This window comes from Homo sapiens, chromosome 13 (genome assembly GCF_000001405.40).
Source record: "Homo sapiens chromosome 13, GRCh38.p14 Primary Assembly".
In the NCBI taxonomy this organism is placed as follows: domain Eukaryota; kingdom Metazoa; phylum Chordata; class Mammalia; order Primates; family Hominidae; genus Homo; species Homo sapiens.
In genome coordinates, this window is record NC_000013.11 from 78,045,386 (window position 1) to 78,065,529 (window position 20,144).

Genomic DNA, 20,144 nt, shown 5'->3' on the forward strand with positions numbered 1-20,144 from the left:
AACATGAAATAACAATTACAGTTTGGGCTCTGTTAATTAGAAAGTTGGTGGGCTTATTTTAATAGGCCAAGGATGCTGAATATGTCAAAGCACAGTATTAAAAACTTTTAAATATCTTTTACTATATATAACTTACTATGCTTAATTAACTACCTCTTTCTCCTTTTGGGGGGCCTCTTATGCCCAAGATACTGTACACAAAGGAGTACAATGTCATGATCAAAAACCTAGCCTCCATAGACAAACCACTCTGCTTGTGTGACCTTCAGCAAGGTACTTAACCTCTCTGAACCTCAGTTTCTTCATCTGTAAAATGAGGATAACAGTACCTATTTAAAGAGTTGTTGTTAATATTCAAAGTTTTAATGTACTTAAAAATAGACTTAAAATTAGCTGTAAGAGGACTGGCAGATATAAGCTTTAAATAAATAAGTGCTACAAAGCATACAGTAATTGCATTTTTCTCTTCATATATGGTTTTTTAGTTTTTAATGAATGTTTTCATATATACTATTAATTATAAAATTCCTGTGAAATATTCATTGTTACCCTATTTTTCGCATATGGGAACTGAGCAAAAGGGGTTGTTCAAGGCCACTCCACCAATAAGAGCCAAATTTGGAAGGAGAGTGCAGGTCTCACAGCTGCTGCTCCAGGATGCAACCCGTTGTGTTGCACTGTCCCTTGATAATTGGATTTTAATCAGGTCTGTGGATAAGTCTCACACACACACACATACACACACACATGCAAAACAGAACTTTGGATAAGATACAAGAAAAATGATCTCACCAAGAATGTACTTTAGTGAGAGGAAGCAGTTACTTCAACATAGACAAAGGCGAACAGCAGACAAGGAGGAAGCAATTAAATAGAAGGAGTCCACTAGTTTGTTTCATTTTATTTATCATTATATTGAGCATAGTGTCATTCAGAGGCTACCAGAAAGACCCCCACCTTTGAGCCTATGCTAAGGGGATCCTGGAAGCCTTCGCCAGGGTGGCTGAGCCACTGCTGTGAGGTGAGCAGAGCCTCAGACCCTGACACCCTCAGGGAGAAAGTAAGGGAGTGACTGTCAATAATTAAACCATCTGTAACCCTTTATATTGTTTTGGTTCTCAGAAACAAATCAAGGACACCACACATAGAATGTAAATTGGCCTTTGTAGTCTTGCCCCCTGGTATAATTAGCAGATGCTCTTTCTTAATGCAGGCCAGTTCAGGGGAAATCTATTTGCATAATGAAACACACTATTTCCATGTACACTGAAACTCAACTTCTTCAAGTTTCTACGTTCTTCTTGTTGGGACTACTTGGAAAAGAAGTATTTTATTATTGTGCATCCCCAGAATAGAATCTCTAGACCTGGGAATCCCCAAAATATAGTAGGGATAAAGAACCATTTTTAAAAATATCAGCAAATGAAAGAGAAATGTATTAAGTGTTGTAAGCGATCCTAAAGGATAGCTAAGAATCTTAAAGGATTCTTTGCTTTGATATGCAATCATGGAACACTGATAGCATGAGTGAAAAAATGTAACTTTAATAAATATGGTGTCTTTGGAAGAACAAATGTTTCAAAATGAGGCATATAGAGGAGAGGGGAAGAGAGAGAGAAAGAGAGAAGAAATATTAAAAATATTTTCTTAGTAGATAAAGGGAGGTCAGAGAAGTGATTTTCAGGTAGAAGAGATAAAAAGAGATGAGGGCTTAGGGAACCATAAAGGAGGAAATGGTATAAGAATGAGGGCGTTGTCGCAAAGACTTGTCAAGGTCTGGAAAATGTTTCAGTGTAACTATAGAAGAGAGAGATGTTAAATTTTGCTTGACTACCTAAATCTTCTCTTGCTTCATCTGCCAAAGTACGCTTCACTGGAAAAGAAGGGAGACCTTTCTAGCAGGTCTTCTACAGGATTTCTTTGCAATAAAAATATACAGAAGTAGCACACATGTCCACCTGTAAGCTGGCAAATTGCCAATTAGTAGAAAGTCTATAAGTAAATTTAGCTAAATATAAAAGAGTACAACTTAAAGTACAATACATTCAAGTTAAGAATATAAAACTAATATATTGTTTAATAGTAGCTATGATGAGATTATCATAGCCCAGGTGGTACTATTGAAATATTGAGAGTAAGATGTGTGTCCATGTTTAATGTTGTATACAGTAGGATTTTTATTAAAAACAAAAAAACTAAAAAACCTGTAGGCAACTTAAATTTTAAAACATAGATAAAATAGATACATATATTTTTTATTATTATTATCCTTTAAGTTCTAGGGTACATGTGCACAACGTGCAGGTTTGTCATGTATGTATACATGAGCCATGTTGGTGTGCTGCACCCATTAACTCATCATTTACATTAGGTATATCTCCTAATGCTATCCCTCCCCCCTCCCCCAACCCCAGGACAGGCCCTGGTGTGTGATGTTCCCCACCCTGTGTCCAGGTGTTCTCATTGTTCAATTCCCACCTATAAGTGAGAACATGCAGTGTTTGGTTTTCTGTCCTTGTGATAGTTGGCTCAGAATGATGGTTTCTAGCTTCATCCATGTCCCTACAAAGGACATGAACTCATCCTTTTTAATGGCTGCATAATATTCCACAGTGTATATGTGCCACATTTTCTTAATCCAATCTATCATTGATGGACATTTGGGTTGGTTCCAAGTCTTTGCTATTGTGGATAGTGCTGCAATAAACATATGTTTGTATGTGTCTTTATAGCAGCATGATTTATAATCGTTTGGGTATATACCCAGTAACGGGATGGCTGGGTCAAATGGCATTTCTAGTTCTAGATCCTTGAGGAATTGCCACACTGTCTTCCACAATGGTTGAACTAGTTTACAGTCCCACCAACAGTGTAAAAGTGTTCCTATTTCTCCATATCCTCTCCAGCACCAGTTGTTTCCTGACTTTTTATTGATCGCCATTCTAACTGGTGTGAGATGATATCTCATTGTGGTTTTGATTTGCATTTCTCTGATGGCCAGTGATGATGAGCAATTTTTCATGTGTCTATTGGCTGCATAAATGTCTTATTTTGAGAAGTGTCTGTTCATATCCTTCACCCACTTTTTAATGGGTTTGTTTGATTTTTTCTTGTAAATTTGTTTAAGTTCTTTGTAGATTCTGGATATTAGCCCTTTGTCAGATGGGTAGATTGTAAAAATTTTCACCCATTCTGTACTTTGCCTATTCACTCTGATGGTAGTTTCTTTTGCTGTGCAGAAGCTCTTTAGTTTAATTAGATCCCATTTGTCAATTTTGGCTTTTGTTGCCATTGCTTTTGGTGTTTTAGTCATGAAGTCCTTACCCATGCCTATGGCCTGAATGGTATTGCCTAGGTTTTCTTCTAGGGTTTTTATGGTTTTAGGTTTAACATTTAAGTCTTGAATCCATCTTGAATTAATTTTTGTGTAAGGTGTAAGGAAGAGATCCAGTTTCAGCTTTCTACATATGGTTAGCCAGTTTTCCCAGCACCATTTATTAAACAAGGAATCCTTTCCCCATTTCTTGTTTTTGTCAGGTTTGTCAAAGATCAGATGGTTGTAGATGTGTGGTATCATTTCTGAGGGCTCTATTCTGTTCCATTGGTCTACATGTCTGTTTTGGTACCAGTACCACGTTGTTTTGGTTACTGTAGACTTGTAGTGTAGTTTGAAGTCAGGTAGCGTGATGCTTCCAGCTTTGTTCTTTTGGCTTAGGATTTTCTTGGCAATGCGGGCTCTTTTTTGGTTCCATTTGAACTTTAAAGTAGTTTTTTCCAATTCTGTGAAGAAAGTCATTGGTAAGTTGATGGGGATGGTGTTGAATCTATAAATTACCTTGGGCACTATGGCCATTTTCACAATATTGATTCTTCCTATCCATGAACATGGAATGTTCTTCCATTTGTTTGTGTCCTCTTTTCTTTCGTTGAGCAGTGGTTTGTAGTTCTCCTTGAAGAGGTCCTCACATCCCTTGTAAGTTGGATTCCTAGGTATTTTATTCTCTTTGAAGCAATTGTGAATGGGAGTTCACTCATGATTTGGCTCTCTGTTTGTCTGTTATTGGTGTATAGGAATGCTTGTGATTTTTGCACATTGATTTTGTATCCTGAGACTTTGCTGAAGTTTCTTATCAGCTTAAGAAGATTTTGGGCTGAGATGATGGGGTTTTCTAAATATACAATTATGTCATCTGCAAACAGGGACAATTTGACTTTCTCTTTTCCTAATTGAATACCCTTTATTTCTTTCTCTTTCCTGATTGCCCTGGCCAGAACTTCCAACACTATGTTGAATAGGAGTGGTGAGAGAGGGCATCCCTGTCTTATGCCAGTTTTCAAGAAAATTTTGTATAAAAATACTGCTTACTCAAATTGGCCCCAGTAGAGAGAATATCTAAAGACAGCAATTGCCATAGAAGAAAAGGGGAAGCAGCTAACAAGCTCCATCACAATAAAAGCTTTAGACTTTGATGGCTTCACAAACTTCTTACTTCATTCTCTAAAGTGCACGTTAAACATCATATAATCTCAATGCACCTTAAGTCTTTCCAGTCCAGGGGAAAAGAGGTTAAACTTTTATTTTTATAAAATCAGCAAAATATTTTCTTCTATAACCTGACAGATTCAATGAAAAAAGAAAACTGCAGACCGATCCCATTTATAAATATCTGCATTAAAATCTTAGATCAATTACTAGCAAATAGATTTATTTAAAAACTCTATACATTATGACCAAGTAAGCTTTATTCTAGGAATTGAAGAGTCGTTAAATATCAGGAAGTCCCATTAATGAAATCTAACACATTAGAGTTAAGATAAAACACCTCATGCTTATATCTGCTTATATAGACACAGAAAAGGCATTTGACAAAATTCAAAATCTATCATGTTTTAAAAAAGTAAAAGGATCGAATAAGGTTGGAATTGATGGATTAAGTCCTTAATTCAGCAGTATATGTTATATAACTTCTATTCTAATAACCATCACTTTATTTCACAGGGGAATATTTCTTGCAAAATTTATAACAAGACCAGATATGTGTTTACTTATATCATAGATAAAAAGTCAATGTCTTTTTATATAAATAGCTTCTAAAATACAGAAGAGGCCAGTAATCCTATAGAAAATGACCTGATTCTAAGCTAGTTTGTCATTAAAATAATAATAGATTAAAATAAAATGATTTTCTGTAATTCTAAAATGAGCTATAGAATATGAGCAGAGTGAATTGATAAGTTTAAATATTTGTGAATAATGTGAAAAAAATGCTTAGTCTCACTCACAATAAGCAAAATACAGATTAAGAACATGATTATTCCAGTCTAGCCAACATGGTGAAACCCTGTCTCTACTAAAAATTAGCCGGGCCTGCGGGCATGTGCCTGTAAGCCCAGCTACTCGGGAGGCTGAGGCAGGGGAATTGCTGGAACCAGGGAGGTGGAGGAGGTTGCAGTGAGCCGAGATTGCGCCACTGCACTCAAAATTATGATCCAATTTCTGATTTATCAATTTGAAAGATTTCCCTAAATTTGACAAGTACTCTGTTTGAGAGATTATGAGTGAACATGCAATTATATTTATAACTGAAGAGAGCGCAAAAATATAAAACCCAATGGAAGGAAATTTAGCAATATCTAGAATAATTGCATATAAATTTATTCTCTGACCAAGTAATACCAATTCTAGGAATCAATAAAAAATAAAAGGCTTATGCTCAAAGCTGTTTGATACAACACTATTTCAAAAGCAAAAAGCTAAAGAGAAAAAATTCTATATGTAGGGGACTGCTGGAATAAAATATAGTGGACCCAAGCAATGAAATACCATGCGGCTATAAAAAGGAATGAGGGGCCAGGTGCCATGGCTCATGTCACTAATCTGAGCATTTTAGAAGGCTGATGTGGGAGGATCACTTGAGGATAGGAGTTCAAGACCAGCCTGGGCAACAAAGTGAGGCTCTATGTCTACAATAAAAAAAGTATTAAAATGAAAAAAATGGGCATGGTTGCATGCACCTCTAGATCTAGCTACTTGGGTGGCTGAGGTGGGAGGATTGCTGGAACCCAGGAGTTCAAGGTTACAGTGAGCTATGATCATGCCACTGCACTCCAACCTGGGAGACAGGACGAGACTCCATTGTTAACTGAAAAAAATTAAAAAGTAAAATAAAGGAATGAGGAATATCTCTATATACTGCCATGAAGTTTCCCAATAATATATTAAGTATCTGTCACACACAGACAGGTTTAGAGATTTGCCAGTTTGGTTTGGAGCAGGAAGGTAGACAGAAAGGAAGATCCACAGAATAAAAGAGCACTTGATATGGTAGATGGACGATTTAGAACTAACAGTATTTGATTAATATATATGGCAAGAGCAAGAAAAAGTCTGAAGCACAAAAGCAAATAGAATCATAGTAACTTTCTGACTGTTTAATCAATTATTGTATTTACATAGACTTATTAATGTAAGGCTTAACTGTTTAATGAGATATGATGATATATCTAAAATGGGAAGGCAGGATATAGTGCAAGGAGGGTAAGTCCTTTTCTCATCTAAAGGTAAGTCAATACATGATGTCTGAAACTAACCAATCAAGAAATAGCTACATAAGCAAGTACTATGGAAATGTAGAGGCAACTACGAAAACAGAAACCTTTGCTTCTATTGATTTGGGTTGAGTTACATATGCTTTTCAGCACCATGTAAATTTTTCCAAAAAATCAAGTGAAAGTATTACATGGATTAAAAAGATAGAAAAACAGTACTTTTTTTTAAAAGATGTTCAGAAACATTTTCCTAAGTTCATTTAAAATGAAGTGCACTAGGCTACAGTGGTATCTGACTGGGCAGAAAATAGAGAAAGAGACAGACTCCAAAAAGACCTGAAGTGACGTCAGTTGAGCCTGGAGACCATCACCAGAGCTAGTCCTAAGGGTGAGTCCACAATGAGTGAAAGGGAGAGGGGGAGCTTTCTGTCAGTTTAAACTACAGCAACAGCATGGAGATTCTCCATTAGTCATTTTTTTCTTGCTCTCCAGTTTTTGATGGTTCAGATGTCTCTAGGGTGATACCAATCATTTTATTATATTTCACATAATACCAGCTTAAGAAACAATGTAATGAAAAGTCCATGTGCTATTACTTTCATTGCCCTGTCAATAAGATCCAGGATTGCCTCCCTCATTCTACTTTTTAAAAATTATTTTCTCAACTTTTCTGATGTGATTCACACTTACTTGGAAGCTTTTGCTTTTTGGAATTCTTTTAAGAATTATAACCTCTTAATTGTAACTTATACATTTTACAATTTTTGTTTGAAATGAGGAAGATGCTTTTGTAACTATATTTCAATTTCACAAGTAATTTAGGGTAAAAGACAGCAAGGGATGTTGGTAGTGTTGCATCCAAGTGTCTTCTATTTGTCATGATTGTGTAAACACCTATAATTTCTCACTTCACTTCTCTAGCCCCTCTGGATGGATATTCAGAGAATGAGGATGAACATTCCTCTGAATACAAAGACTTGGGATATTCTTTCCCTTTAACTGAGAGAAAGAAAAGCAAACTGAATAGACATGGAAATAATAATTTGCATCACAGACATCCCTTCAGGTCGGCAGTTTGAGTTCACCTTAAGGCAATGCCACTGACTGGGGCTTTCCTTGAGTGTGTGTGCTATATCTTAGGCACTGCCATGGCCCTGGTTGGGGCTTAGAACATGTCATCCCAAAATATAACACCATGGTCTGCTGAGTACTTTCAATGGAAGGAAATTGGAAGGGCCTCAGAAGCAAGAATTTCTCTCTGACCTTCTCCTATTCTCCTTTCCCCATTTCTCTACCAAAAGTGGGTCATAGAAACTAAAACTATTCTCCTTGAAAGCAGGCCATAAAACCTATAAACTTTACTCTCTGGTCTTCTCCCTTTTCCCTTGAGGGTCCTTATGTGACAGGTGTCATACCCTATACCTGGAAGAAGGAATGCTGCATAGAGAGGCCCGGAAGAATCTGAAAAAACAGGCCTTACTGGGCTCCTTCAGTTTATCACCATTACAACACACCCTTTTTGTCCAATCGTATTTCTATACAGCTGATCCTGCATTGAGTGCAAGCAAAAAACTGTCAAGTTTTCCCTGGATCTTTGGGCTTTCATTTCTGAAGTCTCCTGTGTCACGTAAAACTTTGTTAAATAAATTTGTTATGCTTTTCTCTTGTAACCTGTCTTTTGTTGTAGGAGTGTCAGGCAAGACCCTTGGAATGGGTGGGCAAAAGGTGTTACTATTTCACTTCTACAGCCTCAAGACCTAGCACCATCTCTAGCATATGTTGTATTAATGACGTTAGATGATTGAATGACTGTTATCTCAATAATTGCCACTGATTTGACTATTTAAGCAGGTCATTTTTTCCCCCTAAATATTCCCCCCGTGCTATACTGAAAGTCACAGAACATCATTATTGCAGAAGAATAGCTTTCCTCAGTCAAGGCTAAATAAGTTACAGGAATTGACAGCGAACACCTCCCATTCAAGTTAGAATGAACACTATTTGGTCTTAGACACATAAATGTTCAGACAAGAGGTTTCCATTTAGAAGAAGCCAACCAATGATGAGTTCAGAAAACATTCTTGTTAACACACTCAAAAATTGCAATAAAAAATGGAGCATCACCTGAAAATGGTAAACTTTTTAAACAAATAGAACGATATGAGGATAAAGGGATGTTTCTAATTAGATTCCCTTTTCTAAAATCTTTCACTTTCCTTACTAGTCTGATGCTCACAGACATAAGGTCAGTGTGATATTTTTGATAACATACGTAGGTCTGCAGAGTTCATAGCACTGCAGACTTGGGAAGATTTTACATGTCCAGTGCATGGCCCAGAGGCAGCAGTATTTATTTTAGCCAGTAACAAACATGATAAATGATGTGCCACCCTCCGTCACTGCTGGTCACTGGAAGTGCTGGCTGACCATCAGCCCAGAGCTCAATTCCCACAGGTTCCCTGCCAAACTATTTGAATAAACCTAGGCAAGTTTACAATTTCTGCTTTGGCTGAAAAACTTCTTTCACTTGGCAGTCTAAATACATTTCAGAGCGTTTGAGGATGAACTGTTGGTTTCTATGCTTAAATAGTAATTTCAGGTATTTTTAAAACATCTTCCTTGAAATATAATTCACATACCATACAATTTTTCCATTGCTTTTAATATATTTACAGACTTGTGTAATCATCACCACAACCAATTTTCTAATATTTGCATTACTCCAAAAAAATCCTCTGTACCCCCAAATCATCCCACCTTGCCTACTCCTAAGCAAGGACTAATGATTCCCCTTCCCTGTTAGGTGGGCTGTTTTCATTATCATTTGCTTGTTTATTGATTGGTGACATGGCCAGTCTATTTTAATGAAGTCTATTTCCCTGCAGTGTCTCTCCTAAGTAAGGCACAGCTTTGGACATTCATAGTTACTTGGGACAACAGTTTTAGCAGGGCTCTCTTTCTCCTTTCCTGATCTCTCTGTTAAGCTGCCTGGCTCATTTGATATCACATCCAAATTATCAGCTGATTGCTCTATTGTTTTGGACAATGCCCTGAAGCATACCAAAATGTGTCTGGAATTGGTGGGTTCTTGGTCTTACTGACTTTAAGAATGAAGTTGCGGACTTTTGCGGTGAGTATTACAGCTTTTAAGGTGGCGCGTCTGGAGTTTGTTCTTTCTGATGTTTGGATGTGTTTGGAATTTCTTCTTTCTGGTGGGTTTGTGGTCTTGCTGGCTTAGGAGTGAAGCTGCAGACTTTCGTGGTGAGTGTTACAGCTTTTAAGGCAGCGTATCTGGAGTTGTTCATAAATTGCTCTGTAGCATTATCTGATTAAACCCATGTAGTATTAGTTTTATTTCTTGTTTTGTTTTCTTTTGGTTTTTGTTTTGGTTTTTTGAGATAGAGTCCTGCTCTGTCACCCAGGCTGGAGTGTGGTGGCGTGATCTTGGCTCACTGCAACCTTTGCCTCCTGGGTTCAAGCGATTCCCTTGCCTCAGCCTCCTGAGTAGCTGGAATTACAAGTGTCCATCACCAGCTAGGCTAATTTTTGTATTCTTAGTAGAGATGGGGTTTCACCATGTTGGCCAGGCTGGTCTCTAATTCTTGACCTCAGGTGATCCACCTGCCCTGGCCTCCCAAAGTGCTGGGATTACAGGTATGAGCCACCATACCCAGCTGCAGTAGTAGTTTTTAAAGACAGTTTTTGAGGTTTATGGAGATCCCAGGAGGGCACTTCTTATGTACTTCTTTCTCTTTTTCTGTCTGGTGAACTAGCTGGCCTATGGTTAAACTTTTTGCTGTCACTTAAGAAGAGCTATTTGTTTTCGCTGGATATGAAATTCTGGGTTGAAAATTCTTTTCTTTAAGAATGTTGAATATTGGCTCCCACTCTCTTCTAGCTTGTAGAGTTTCTGCCGAGAGATCCACTGTTAGTACCCTTATACTTGAACTTCACCATATTCTGTTTAAAATAAAATCAATTCCTTTGGGGGGCATTCAGATGTCCCTTTTCCTATGGATTCCCCTTTCATTTGGTTAAGATGTCTCAACCCTACTCCAGGCACTGGCTAGAGGAGTTAGCCTCTGGTCCTCCAGACTTTTTGTCTTGACTCTCCTGGCGTGGGGTGCTGCCCAAAGATTGAGTTCATGTCAGGAAAATCAGAACCCCAATCTTCTTGCCAGCCATGCACAGAGTAGACACTCCATCCTGACTGAGAGCTGGTGGGAGGAAGATAGCCACCAACCCTTTGGCAACATGCACCTGGAATATATCCTCTTCATGGAGTTGGAGAGGATGAAAAATGTTAGTGGTTTCCCCCTCCCAATAAAATATGGCAACTCTTGATCAGAAATTGTAAAGAGAAGGAACTCATCTTTTTGACAACTTGGATTGAAGTTTCTGTTAGGCTGAGCTTAGGGTAAAGAGGGAGAGTGTAGAAGGTGGCTCAAATGTTACAGACTCTCATTGTTCTGAATTTTAGTAGATTTTCTTAAATAGATGTTTCCTCATTTGCTGTATGCCATTTGGACAATTTCCACAGATTAGAGCAAAACTTCAATGTCTGTTCCAGAAGGAAGTATCATGTTGGATTTTACTGTACAATGAAGAAATGGGTATTGGGGGAACCTGCCCCCAATATTTCAACGTAGGTTTTTTCTATTTTCCATAAGTGTCGGCCAGCTGAGAAATAAAAAGAGAGACAGTATAAAGAGAGGAATTTTACAGCTGGGCTGCTGGGGGTGACATCACATATTGGTAGGACCATGATGCCCACCTGAGTTTTGTATTAAGGGTTTCAAACCAGCAAGTTTTTTCTTAAGGGTTTCAAAAGGGGAGAGGGTGTAATAACAGACAGTAGGTACAAAGATCACATGCTTCAAAGGGCAAAAGGCAGAACAAAGATCACATGCTTCGGAGGGAACAGGACAAAGGGCAAAAGCAGAACTACTGATAAGGGTCCAACAAAGATCACAAGGCAAAGGGCAAAAGCAGAATTACTGATAAGGGTCTATGTTCAGCAGTGCATGTATTGTCTTGATAAACATTTTAAACAACAGAAAACAAGGTGCGAGAGCAGAGAACTGGTCTGACCACAGATTTACCAGGGCGGAGTTTTTATCCACCCTAGTAAGCCTGAGGGTACTGCAGGAGACCAGGGCATATCTCAGTCCTTATCTCAACCACATCAGGCAGACATTCCCAGAGTGGCCATTTATAGACCTCCCCCCAGGAATGCATTCCTTCCCCAGGGTATTAATATTATTATTCCTTGCTAGGAAAAGAATTTAGCAACATCTTCCCTACTTGCATGTCCATTTATAGGCTCTCTGCAAGAAGAAAAGTATGGCTTTTTTTGCCCGACCCTGCAGGCAGTCAGGCCTTATGTTTATCTTCCCTTTTTCCCTAAAAATCACTGTTATTCTGTTCATTTTCAAGGTGCACTGATTTCATATTGTTCAAACACACGTTTTACAAACAATTTGTACAGTTAACATAATTATCACAGTGGTCCTCAGGTGACATACATCCTCAGTTTATGAAGATAACAGGATTAAAAGATTAAAGTAAAGACAGGCATAAGAAATTATAAAAGTATTATTTGGGAACTGATAAATGTCCATGAAATCTTCACAATTTATGTTCCTCTGCCACGGCTCCAGCCATCCCTCCACTTGGGGTCCCTGACTTCCTGCAACATCTTTCCCTTTCTTTTCATATAAATGTGCCATGGCAATGAAGGCTTATTCATTCTCTCGGTTTTGACGCAGGATTCTTTGACTGGTCCAGCACACTAAAAACAAGCTGATTAAACAGAGAAACATAATTCCAAAATTTACTACAGTGGAGCCCCCAACAGACTTAATCCAAGTCGTGGGGTTTGGTCCAGAAAGACTTTCTGCCACCTGATCTAGTGCCTCAGTTCCAGGCACAATGGATAAATGAGCTTGAGAGGCTTCAAAAATTTGTTTCTTTAATTTAGTTATGTCCAAGGATAAATTATGTTCCCTACCCAGCAGGTGTCCTTTGACCATTTCCCATGAATGATCAGTCTTCTTGTAGGAATATGGTGTGATACAGAAATCAGAAGTATTCCAATCGCACTGCATTTGCATGCGATGTTTGAGACTTATTAGCTGATCTCCAAGCCAAATAACAGACTGTCTTAAATCATTAATTTGATTAGCTAATTTTTGATCAATGCCCTGTTGAGAATTCTACATTTGGGTGGAATTAGCTTGCCAATCATTAACAAAATCAGCCCTTTGAATAGGTTGGTGTAATGCCACGCCGGCGGTGGTGGCCAGTGCAGTGACTGTAATTAGGCCCATGATCACAGCGATTAAAGTGAAAACGAATCTCTTAGATCTTTTGAGAATTCGTTGTAACACTTCATTAATTAAATGTACTGAGGGTGAAGATTCCCAAGGTCTGGGTAAAGTTACCAGTATCCAGATTCCTTCTCACTTCTCAAGCTCACACAACATTACACTTTTCCTGAAGTCAAAATGGGAGTTAACACAAGTGTATAAATGACAATTAATGCATTGGACAGTTTGATTGTTCATCCAAATTTTGATATTTCCCACTAACAGCATGTAAGAAGGCTTAACACAACTCTGTATAGGAATAGTCAGGTTGGAGGTAAACAAAGCGGAATGTTTCAATCTACATCGATACTGAGGGAGAGAAGCGGCAGTGGCAACGCCCGATGTTCTCTACTGTAAAGAAGCAATCCGAGGTGCTCAGGAATGCCGAAGAGGTGGAGGCGCATACCTGGGTGAAGAAGAATTATCATAAGGCCAATCAGAGTCCCATAAAGGAGGATCAGCATCTAAAAGAGGAGGAGAGTTCAAAGAGGATTTATCATGGGGTTCAGAATCACGGATGTGAGGGGCAGTAGTGGGGACAACAGACAGAAAATTTCCTCTTCCCATACTTGCAGGCCAACCATGGCAATAGCCAATTTCCAAAGTTCTGGGTGTTCTGGGCTCAGAATGGGGAATATCATATGAGGCCTCATGGTGGGTAATGCCCTTGTGTTCTCATTTTAAGGGAAAGAACTCAATATGCCTAGGCGAAGATCTTTTTGCAATGAATTTCTCGGGTGTTCTTTGTGCTTCTTATATTTGGATGTCTCGGTCTCTATGAGAGACAGGACTAGCTGGATTTCCTAGGCTGACTAAGAATTCCTAAGCCTAGCTGGGGAAGGTGACTGCACCTACCTTTAAACACAGAGCTTGTAACTCAGCTCACACCAGACCAATCAGGTAGTAAAGAGGGCTCACGAAAATACCAATTAGGCTAAAAACAGGAGGTAAAAAATAATCAAATCATCTATCACCTGAGAGCACAGGGTGAGGGATAATGATCAGGATATAAACCTAGGCATTCGAGCAGGGAGTGGCAACCCCCTTTGGGTCCACTCCCATTGTATGGAAGCTCTGTTTTTCACTCTATTAAATCTTGCAACTGCACACTCTTCTGGTGAGCTGAGCTTTCGCTCGCCATGCACCACTGCTGTTTGCCGCCATCGCAGACCCGCTGCTGACTTCCACCCCTCCCTATCCAGCAGGGTGTCGGCTGCGCTCCTGATTCATCAAGGAGCCCATTACTGCTCCCGATTGGGCTAAAGGCTAGCCATTGTTCCTACAGGCTAAGTGCCTTTGTTCATTCTAATCGAGCTGAACACTAGTCACTGGGTTCCACAGTTCTCTTCCGTGACCCACGGCTTCTAATAGAGCTATAACACTCACCGCATGGCCCAAGGTTCTATTTTTTGGAATCTGTGAGGCCAAGAACCCCAGGTCAGAGAACAAAAGGCTTGCCGCCCTCTTGGGAGCGGCCCACTCCATCTTGGGAGCGGCCCTCCACTGTCTTGGGAGCTATAAGCACAAAGTCCCCCGTAACATCTAGGAAGGCTGGAGAGGTTTTCCTCCATTTTTCCCCCAAATATGTTTTTTAAGCTCATAGAATTCTCTTCTTCCTCAAGAATACCAATTATTTTTAGGTTTTGTCATTTAGCATAATCCCAGACTCTTGGAGGATTTGTTCATATTTTCTTATTCTTTTTTCTTTGTGTTTGTTGGATTGGGTTAATTCAAAGACCTTGTCTTCGAGGTCAGAATTTCTTCCACTTGTTCAATTCTATTGCTGAGAATTTCCAGAGCATTTTGCATTTCTAAAAGTGTGTCCAAAGTTTCCTGAATTTTTTATTGTTTTTTCTTTAAACTATCTATTTCCTTGCATATTTCTTCCTTCACTTCTTGTATCGTATTTTGGATTTCCTTGCACTAGGCTTCACCTTTCTCTGGTCCCTCCCTGATTAGCTTAATAACTAACGTCCTGAATTTTTTTTTTTCAGGTAAATCAGGGATTTCTTCTTGGTTTGGATCCATTGCTGGTGAACTAGTGTGATTTTTTGGGGGGTGTTGAAGAAACTTGCTTTTCATATTACCAGGGCTGGTTTTCTGGTTCCTTCTCATTTGGGTAGGCTCTGTCAGAGGGAAGGTCTAGGGCTGAAGGCTGTTCAGATCCTTTTTTTTCATGGGAAGTTCCTTTGATGTCATATTCTCCCCCTTTTCCTAATGGATTTAGCTTTTTGTGAGCCAAACTGCAGTGATTTTTTTCTCTCTTCTGGATCTAGCCACCCGGTGAGTCTATCCAGCTCCAGGCTGGTACTGGGGGTTGTCTGCATAGAGTTCTGTGATGTGAACTGTCTATGGATCTCTGCCATGGATACCAGTGCCTGTTCTGGTGGAGGTGGCAGAGGTGGCAATGGACTCTGTGAGGGTTCTTAGCTTTGATGGTTTAATGTTCTATTTTTGCACTGGTTGACCTCTTGCCAGGAGGTGGTGCTTTCCAGAGAACATCAGCTGTGGTATCATGGGGAGGAATCAGCAGTGGGTGGGGACCTAGAACTCCCAAATTATATGTCCTTTGTCTTCTGCTACCAGGATGGGTAGGGAAGGACCGTCAGGTGGGGGCAGGGCTAGGCATTTTGAGCCCAGACTCTCCTTGGGTGGGTCTTGCTGTGGCTGTTGTGGGGAATGGGGGTAAGATTCCCAGTCACTGGAGTTGTGTACCTAGGAGCATTACGGCTGCCTTTGCTGAGTCACGAAGTTTGTCAGGGAAGTAGGGGAAAGCCAGCAGTCACAGGCCTCACCCACATCTCACACAAATCAAAGAGCCAGTGCCAGTCTCACTCCTACAATGCCCCGGGCAACAGTCCCCAGACGGTTTCCAGGCAGACAGCAATAAGGGCTTGAAAACCTGCCCCAGGCTATGCGCCTCCCAGCTGTGAAAGAGAAAGCCTTGTGGAGTCTGCCCTCCCCCAAATTCTGGCCAGGAGGCTTCTCGCCTCTTTCTAATTTTCACCTCTTTCTAATTTTCACTCACCTCTTTCTAATTTTCACTAAGTTTAGCTAGAGATTTCCTTCTCCCTGTGTAGTTTTACCCCTTGCTCCTTTCCCATTGGATCCCTGTGGTGCCAGGCAGAAATGGCCTGCTTGGGGACCCAACAAGCTCCCAGAGCCTTTCTGCTGCTTCTTCTACCTCTGTATTTTGCTCAGTTCTCCAAAGAGCTCCAGGTAAAGTCAGAAACTTCTCCTGCAAACAGATCTTCAGCTTCTCCAGTGGGGATGTGTGTCTAAGAGTGGAGGGTCTCTCTTTCCCACTTCTGTAGTTGGGGCACTGACAGTTTTGACACATCTCCTGGGTCCTGCAGGAACAGTCTGCTTCCTTCAGAGGGTCTCTGGATCACATATTTAGCTACACAAAATAGATGGAGGTAAAAGAGTGAAACATCTCGTAAGCAGAATCTCAATGCTTAAATAATGAATTATAAGTTTCTGAGGCTTAAATTTCAGAAATGGCTTACATAGAGGTTCTCATGTCATGAAGAAGAGATCACAGGGTGGATCTACACCCATCATGCTGATCAGATGATTGAAAGATTCTGCCTGGGGCCTGAAAGCTAAAGGGAATGAATAACTCCCCCCCCTCAGGACCACTCCCAAGGCACAAGGTCACTTGTGCCAGCAGCATGCATCAGCAAGATAGCAGAAGCAGGAAGAGAGCAGGACAGAAGACACATACCCCCGAAGATCGAGAGGGAGGCCATGCGGGTACTACATAGCAATCATATCAGACTGGAACACTTCCTGTTTACAGAGGACTGTGAAACCCCTGCCCTGTCCTCACTTGGGGCTGACGCCATTTTAGGCCTCAGCCTGCCTGCACCCAGGTGCTCATTAAAATAGCGTGTTGCTCCACACAGCCTTGTGTTGTTTGTTGGTGCGCTCTCGGGGTTCGAACTGATACAAGAGCCTTGCAATGATCACACTTGTGGAGTGTTCATCCTTGTGGTGTAATTAGCACTGTATGCCAATGACTCCCTTTTTCCACGTGTCCTTTCCACACTTCACTTCAGGAACCCTGCACTGTCTATTATCCTTTCTTACAACTATCTTTTCAATCCCCTTGACTCGACTTCTTCCATCCTATAAGCAATTGAACCTGCTCCAGCCTTAACAATTTAACACACAAAAGAAACAAAGCCCAAAGCCTCCTTTCGTATCTATTTTCCCATCCAGTTATCATCCCTACTATATCCAAACCTCTTGAAGGCATTGTCTGTATTTATTACCTTCATTTTCTCAAATCCTACTCAGTTTCAAACCTACTCTAGTCTGGCTTTTATCATCACTATAGCACCCAAAGCCCTTCTTTAGAGGTCACCAGTGACATGCATGTCACTGACTCCAAGGCCATGTTCTCATTCTCCTCTTACTTGATCCATCTGGGGTACTGAGGCAGTTCACCATACCCTTATTACTGAAACACTCTATCCTTGCCTTTCATAACCTTACACTTTTCTGGTTTTCCTCCTCCTTTACACTTTGGCCACCTCATTCTTTTCCACCTGGCCTTAAATAAGTTGGGATTTCTCAAAGTTTTGTCTAAGGCCTTTTCTTTAATCCTTTTTCTCTAGTTAATTTCAACTATCACCAAATCACCATGGCTTCAATCACTATCTATAAGTGTGCTTTTTCTGTTTACTCCAACTTTTCTCAGAGCTCCAGATCTGTAGAACCAACAACTGTCTCATTGCCGTCAGTGCTTGTTGATCTCATGGGCATCCTATGCTTCACATCTTGAAGACCAAGCTCATAATTTTCTTTCCACTCCTGGCTTTCCCCCAGTATTTCTGAGCCCAGGGTATGTCTCATGCCAGAAAGTTGGAAATTATCGTGGATATCTTTCCTTCACTGGGATCAGTATTCTACCAATCACCAAGATTTCTAATCTTTCTTCTAATTATGCCTGAAATTGACCTATTTCTCTTTATCTCCATGGCTATTCCCTCTCACATAGGCTACTTCAATATCCTCCATACCGGTCCCTTACATCTGCTCTTGTACTCTTTTAATTTATATACCTCACTGTGAATAAAATCATCTTTTAAAAATGAAAGTCTGTTCATGAAATTTCTCTGCTTAACCTACTTTAATGGCTTCCCTTTTATCCCTAGATAAAATCCCAGATTATCATGGACCTCAAGGTTCTGTATGATATGATGTCTGTCTGCCTCATCAGTCTCATATAGAGACATTTATTCCTCCATTTCTTCTACTTCTGCCTCATCAGCTTTCAGTTCCTTGAATATACTTCTTCCTGTCTTAGTGCCTTTGCCTACACTATTCCCTCTGCCGGGAATGATCTGTCCTTCAGTGACCAGCTAACTCCCAGTAATTCACATGTTGCTAATTGTTTATATATTACTTCTGCATTTCCTGATCCTCTAAAATAGTTGAGTTCCCCCTGTAAGATGATCTCTTAGCTCCACCATAGCACGTATTACAGCTGCAATTAATTGGTTGGTTGTTATTTGGATTCTCCACTCAAAAAATATGATTGAATGAGTGACTCTAAAGGGAGTCTAGTTCTGTATCTCTAGTTCTGTCTCTCCCCTTGGGCTTTTTTTCCCTTTCTGAATATGACCTCTGAATGTGCCCACTCTTAAATCCACAATTTCAGCCAACAGTCTCACCACCTACATCATCATCAAAATCAGAGACAAGGGAGTCACCCCAGAGTCCTCTTTTCACCTCATCTCCATAGCTTATGAATCTCCAAGTCTTGTTGGTTTAGCTTACAAGGCAGTTATTGGTGACTTTTTTCCTTCAACTTTTATTTTAAGTTCCAGGGTACATGTGCAGGATGTGCAGGTTTGTGACATGGGTAAACATGTGCCATGGTTGTTTGCTGCACAGATAAACTCATCACCTTAAGCCCAGCATTCATTAGCTATTTTTTGGGATGATCTCCCTCCCCCATCCATCCCCTGACAGGCCCCAGTGTGTGTTGTTCCTCCCCATGTGTCCATGTGTTCTCATTATTCAGCTCCCACTTATAAATGAGAACTTGCTGCATTTGGTTTTCTGTTCCTAGATTAGTTTGCTGAGGATAACAGCTTCCAGCTCCATCCATGTCCCTGCAAAGGACGTAATCTTGTCCCTTTGTTTTATTTTAAGTTCCAGAATACATGTGCAGGACATGCAGGTTTGTTAACGTAGGTAAACGTGTGCCATGATGGCTTGCTGCACCTATCAACCCATCACCTAGGTATTAAGCCCCAAATGCATCAGCTATTTATCCTGATGCCCTCCCTCCCCCACTCCTACAGGCTCCACTGTGTGTTGTTCCTCTCCCAGAGTGTCCATGTGTTCTCATTGTTCACCTCTCCCTTATAAGTGAGAACATGCGATGTTTGGTTTTCTGTTCCTGTATTAGATCGCTGGATCTTGTTCCTTTTTATGGCTGCATAGTATTCCATGGTATGTATTTACCACATTTTCTTTATCCAGTCTATCACTGATGGACATTTGGGTTGATTTTATGTCTTTGCTATAGTGCTGCAATGAATATTTATTTTTATAATAGAATGATTTATATTCCTTTGGGTATATACCCAGTAATGGGATTGCTGGGTCAAATGGTATTTCTGCCTCTAGATCTTTGAGGAATCGCCATACTGTCTTCCACCATGGTTGAACTAATTTACACTCCCACCAACAGTGTAAAAGTGTTCCTTTTTCTCTGCAACCTCCTTACAAGGCATTTATTATATGTGTGCTGCTGTCCACTATCTTCACAACAACCTTTGAGTCTTTACTTGTATTCATCGGTTCTTATATGTTTGTTTGTTTGTTTGTTTGTTTGTTTGTTTTTCAATAACTATTTGTTTGAACTATTGACCTATCAAACCACTTATCCTTTTATAATTCTATTTTGAAACTGAATCAACAAAAACAGACACTGTTTGGGCAGCTTTTATTTCTAGCTCATAATCCAAGAATTTTCCTCAATGGAAAATTTTGATGCTATTTTGATGAAACTCGTTCCAAGATAATGAGTTCTTTTGGCGGTAAAAAACCAATGCTCTCCTTTATAATATAAATAGTTCTAGAATTAATATCCAGAGATAAGTTTCTAGTTTCTATTTAACTTTTCAATAATTTCCTGAATAGTATTTCATTTCCAAATAATTAAAAAATGAACAATAGAAACCCTGTGAGAGACCGAATATGCAAACA

The 20,144-nt window shown here is 39.9% G+C and overlaps 2 long non-coding RNA genes across 2 annotated transcripts in view; both read left to right on the forward strand.

The window, feature by feature from the left end:
- LINC00446 (long intergenic non-protein coding RNA 446) overlaps nucleotides 1-8,210 on the forward strand; it is a 40,713-nt gene extending 32,503 nt beyond the window's left edge. Inside the window, exon 6 of the long non-coding RNA NR_047028.1 lies at nucleotides 8,093-8,210. This is a non-coding gene — a long non-coding RNA (long intergenic non-protein coding RNA 446). The remainder of the gene's footprint in view (nucleotides 1-8,092) is intronic.
- A 1,259-nt stretch (nucleotides 8,211-9,469) lies between these two features.
- The window catches only part of OBI1-AS1 (OBI1 antisense RNA 1), a 562,471-nt gene continuing 551,796 nt past the window's right edge, over nucleotides 9,470-20,144 (forward strand). Inside the window, exon 1 of the long non-coding RNA NR_047001.1 lies at nucleotides 9,470-9,679. This is a non-coding gene — a long non-coding RNA (OBI1 antisense RNA 1). The remainder of the gene's footprint in view (nucleotides 9,680-20,144) is intronic.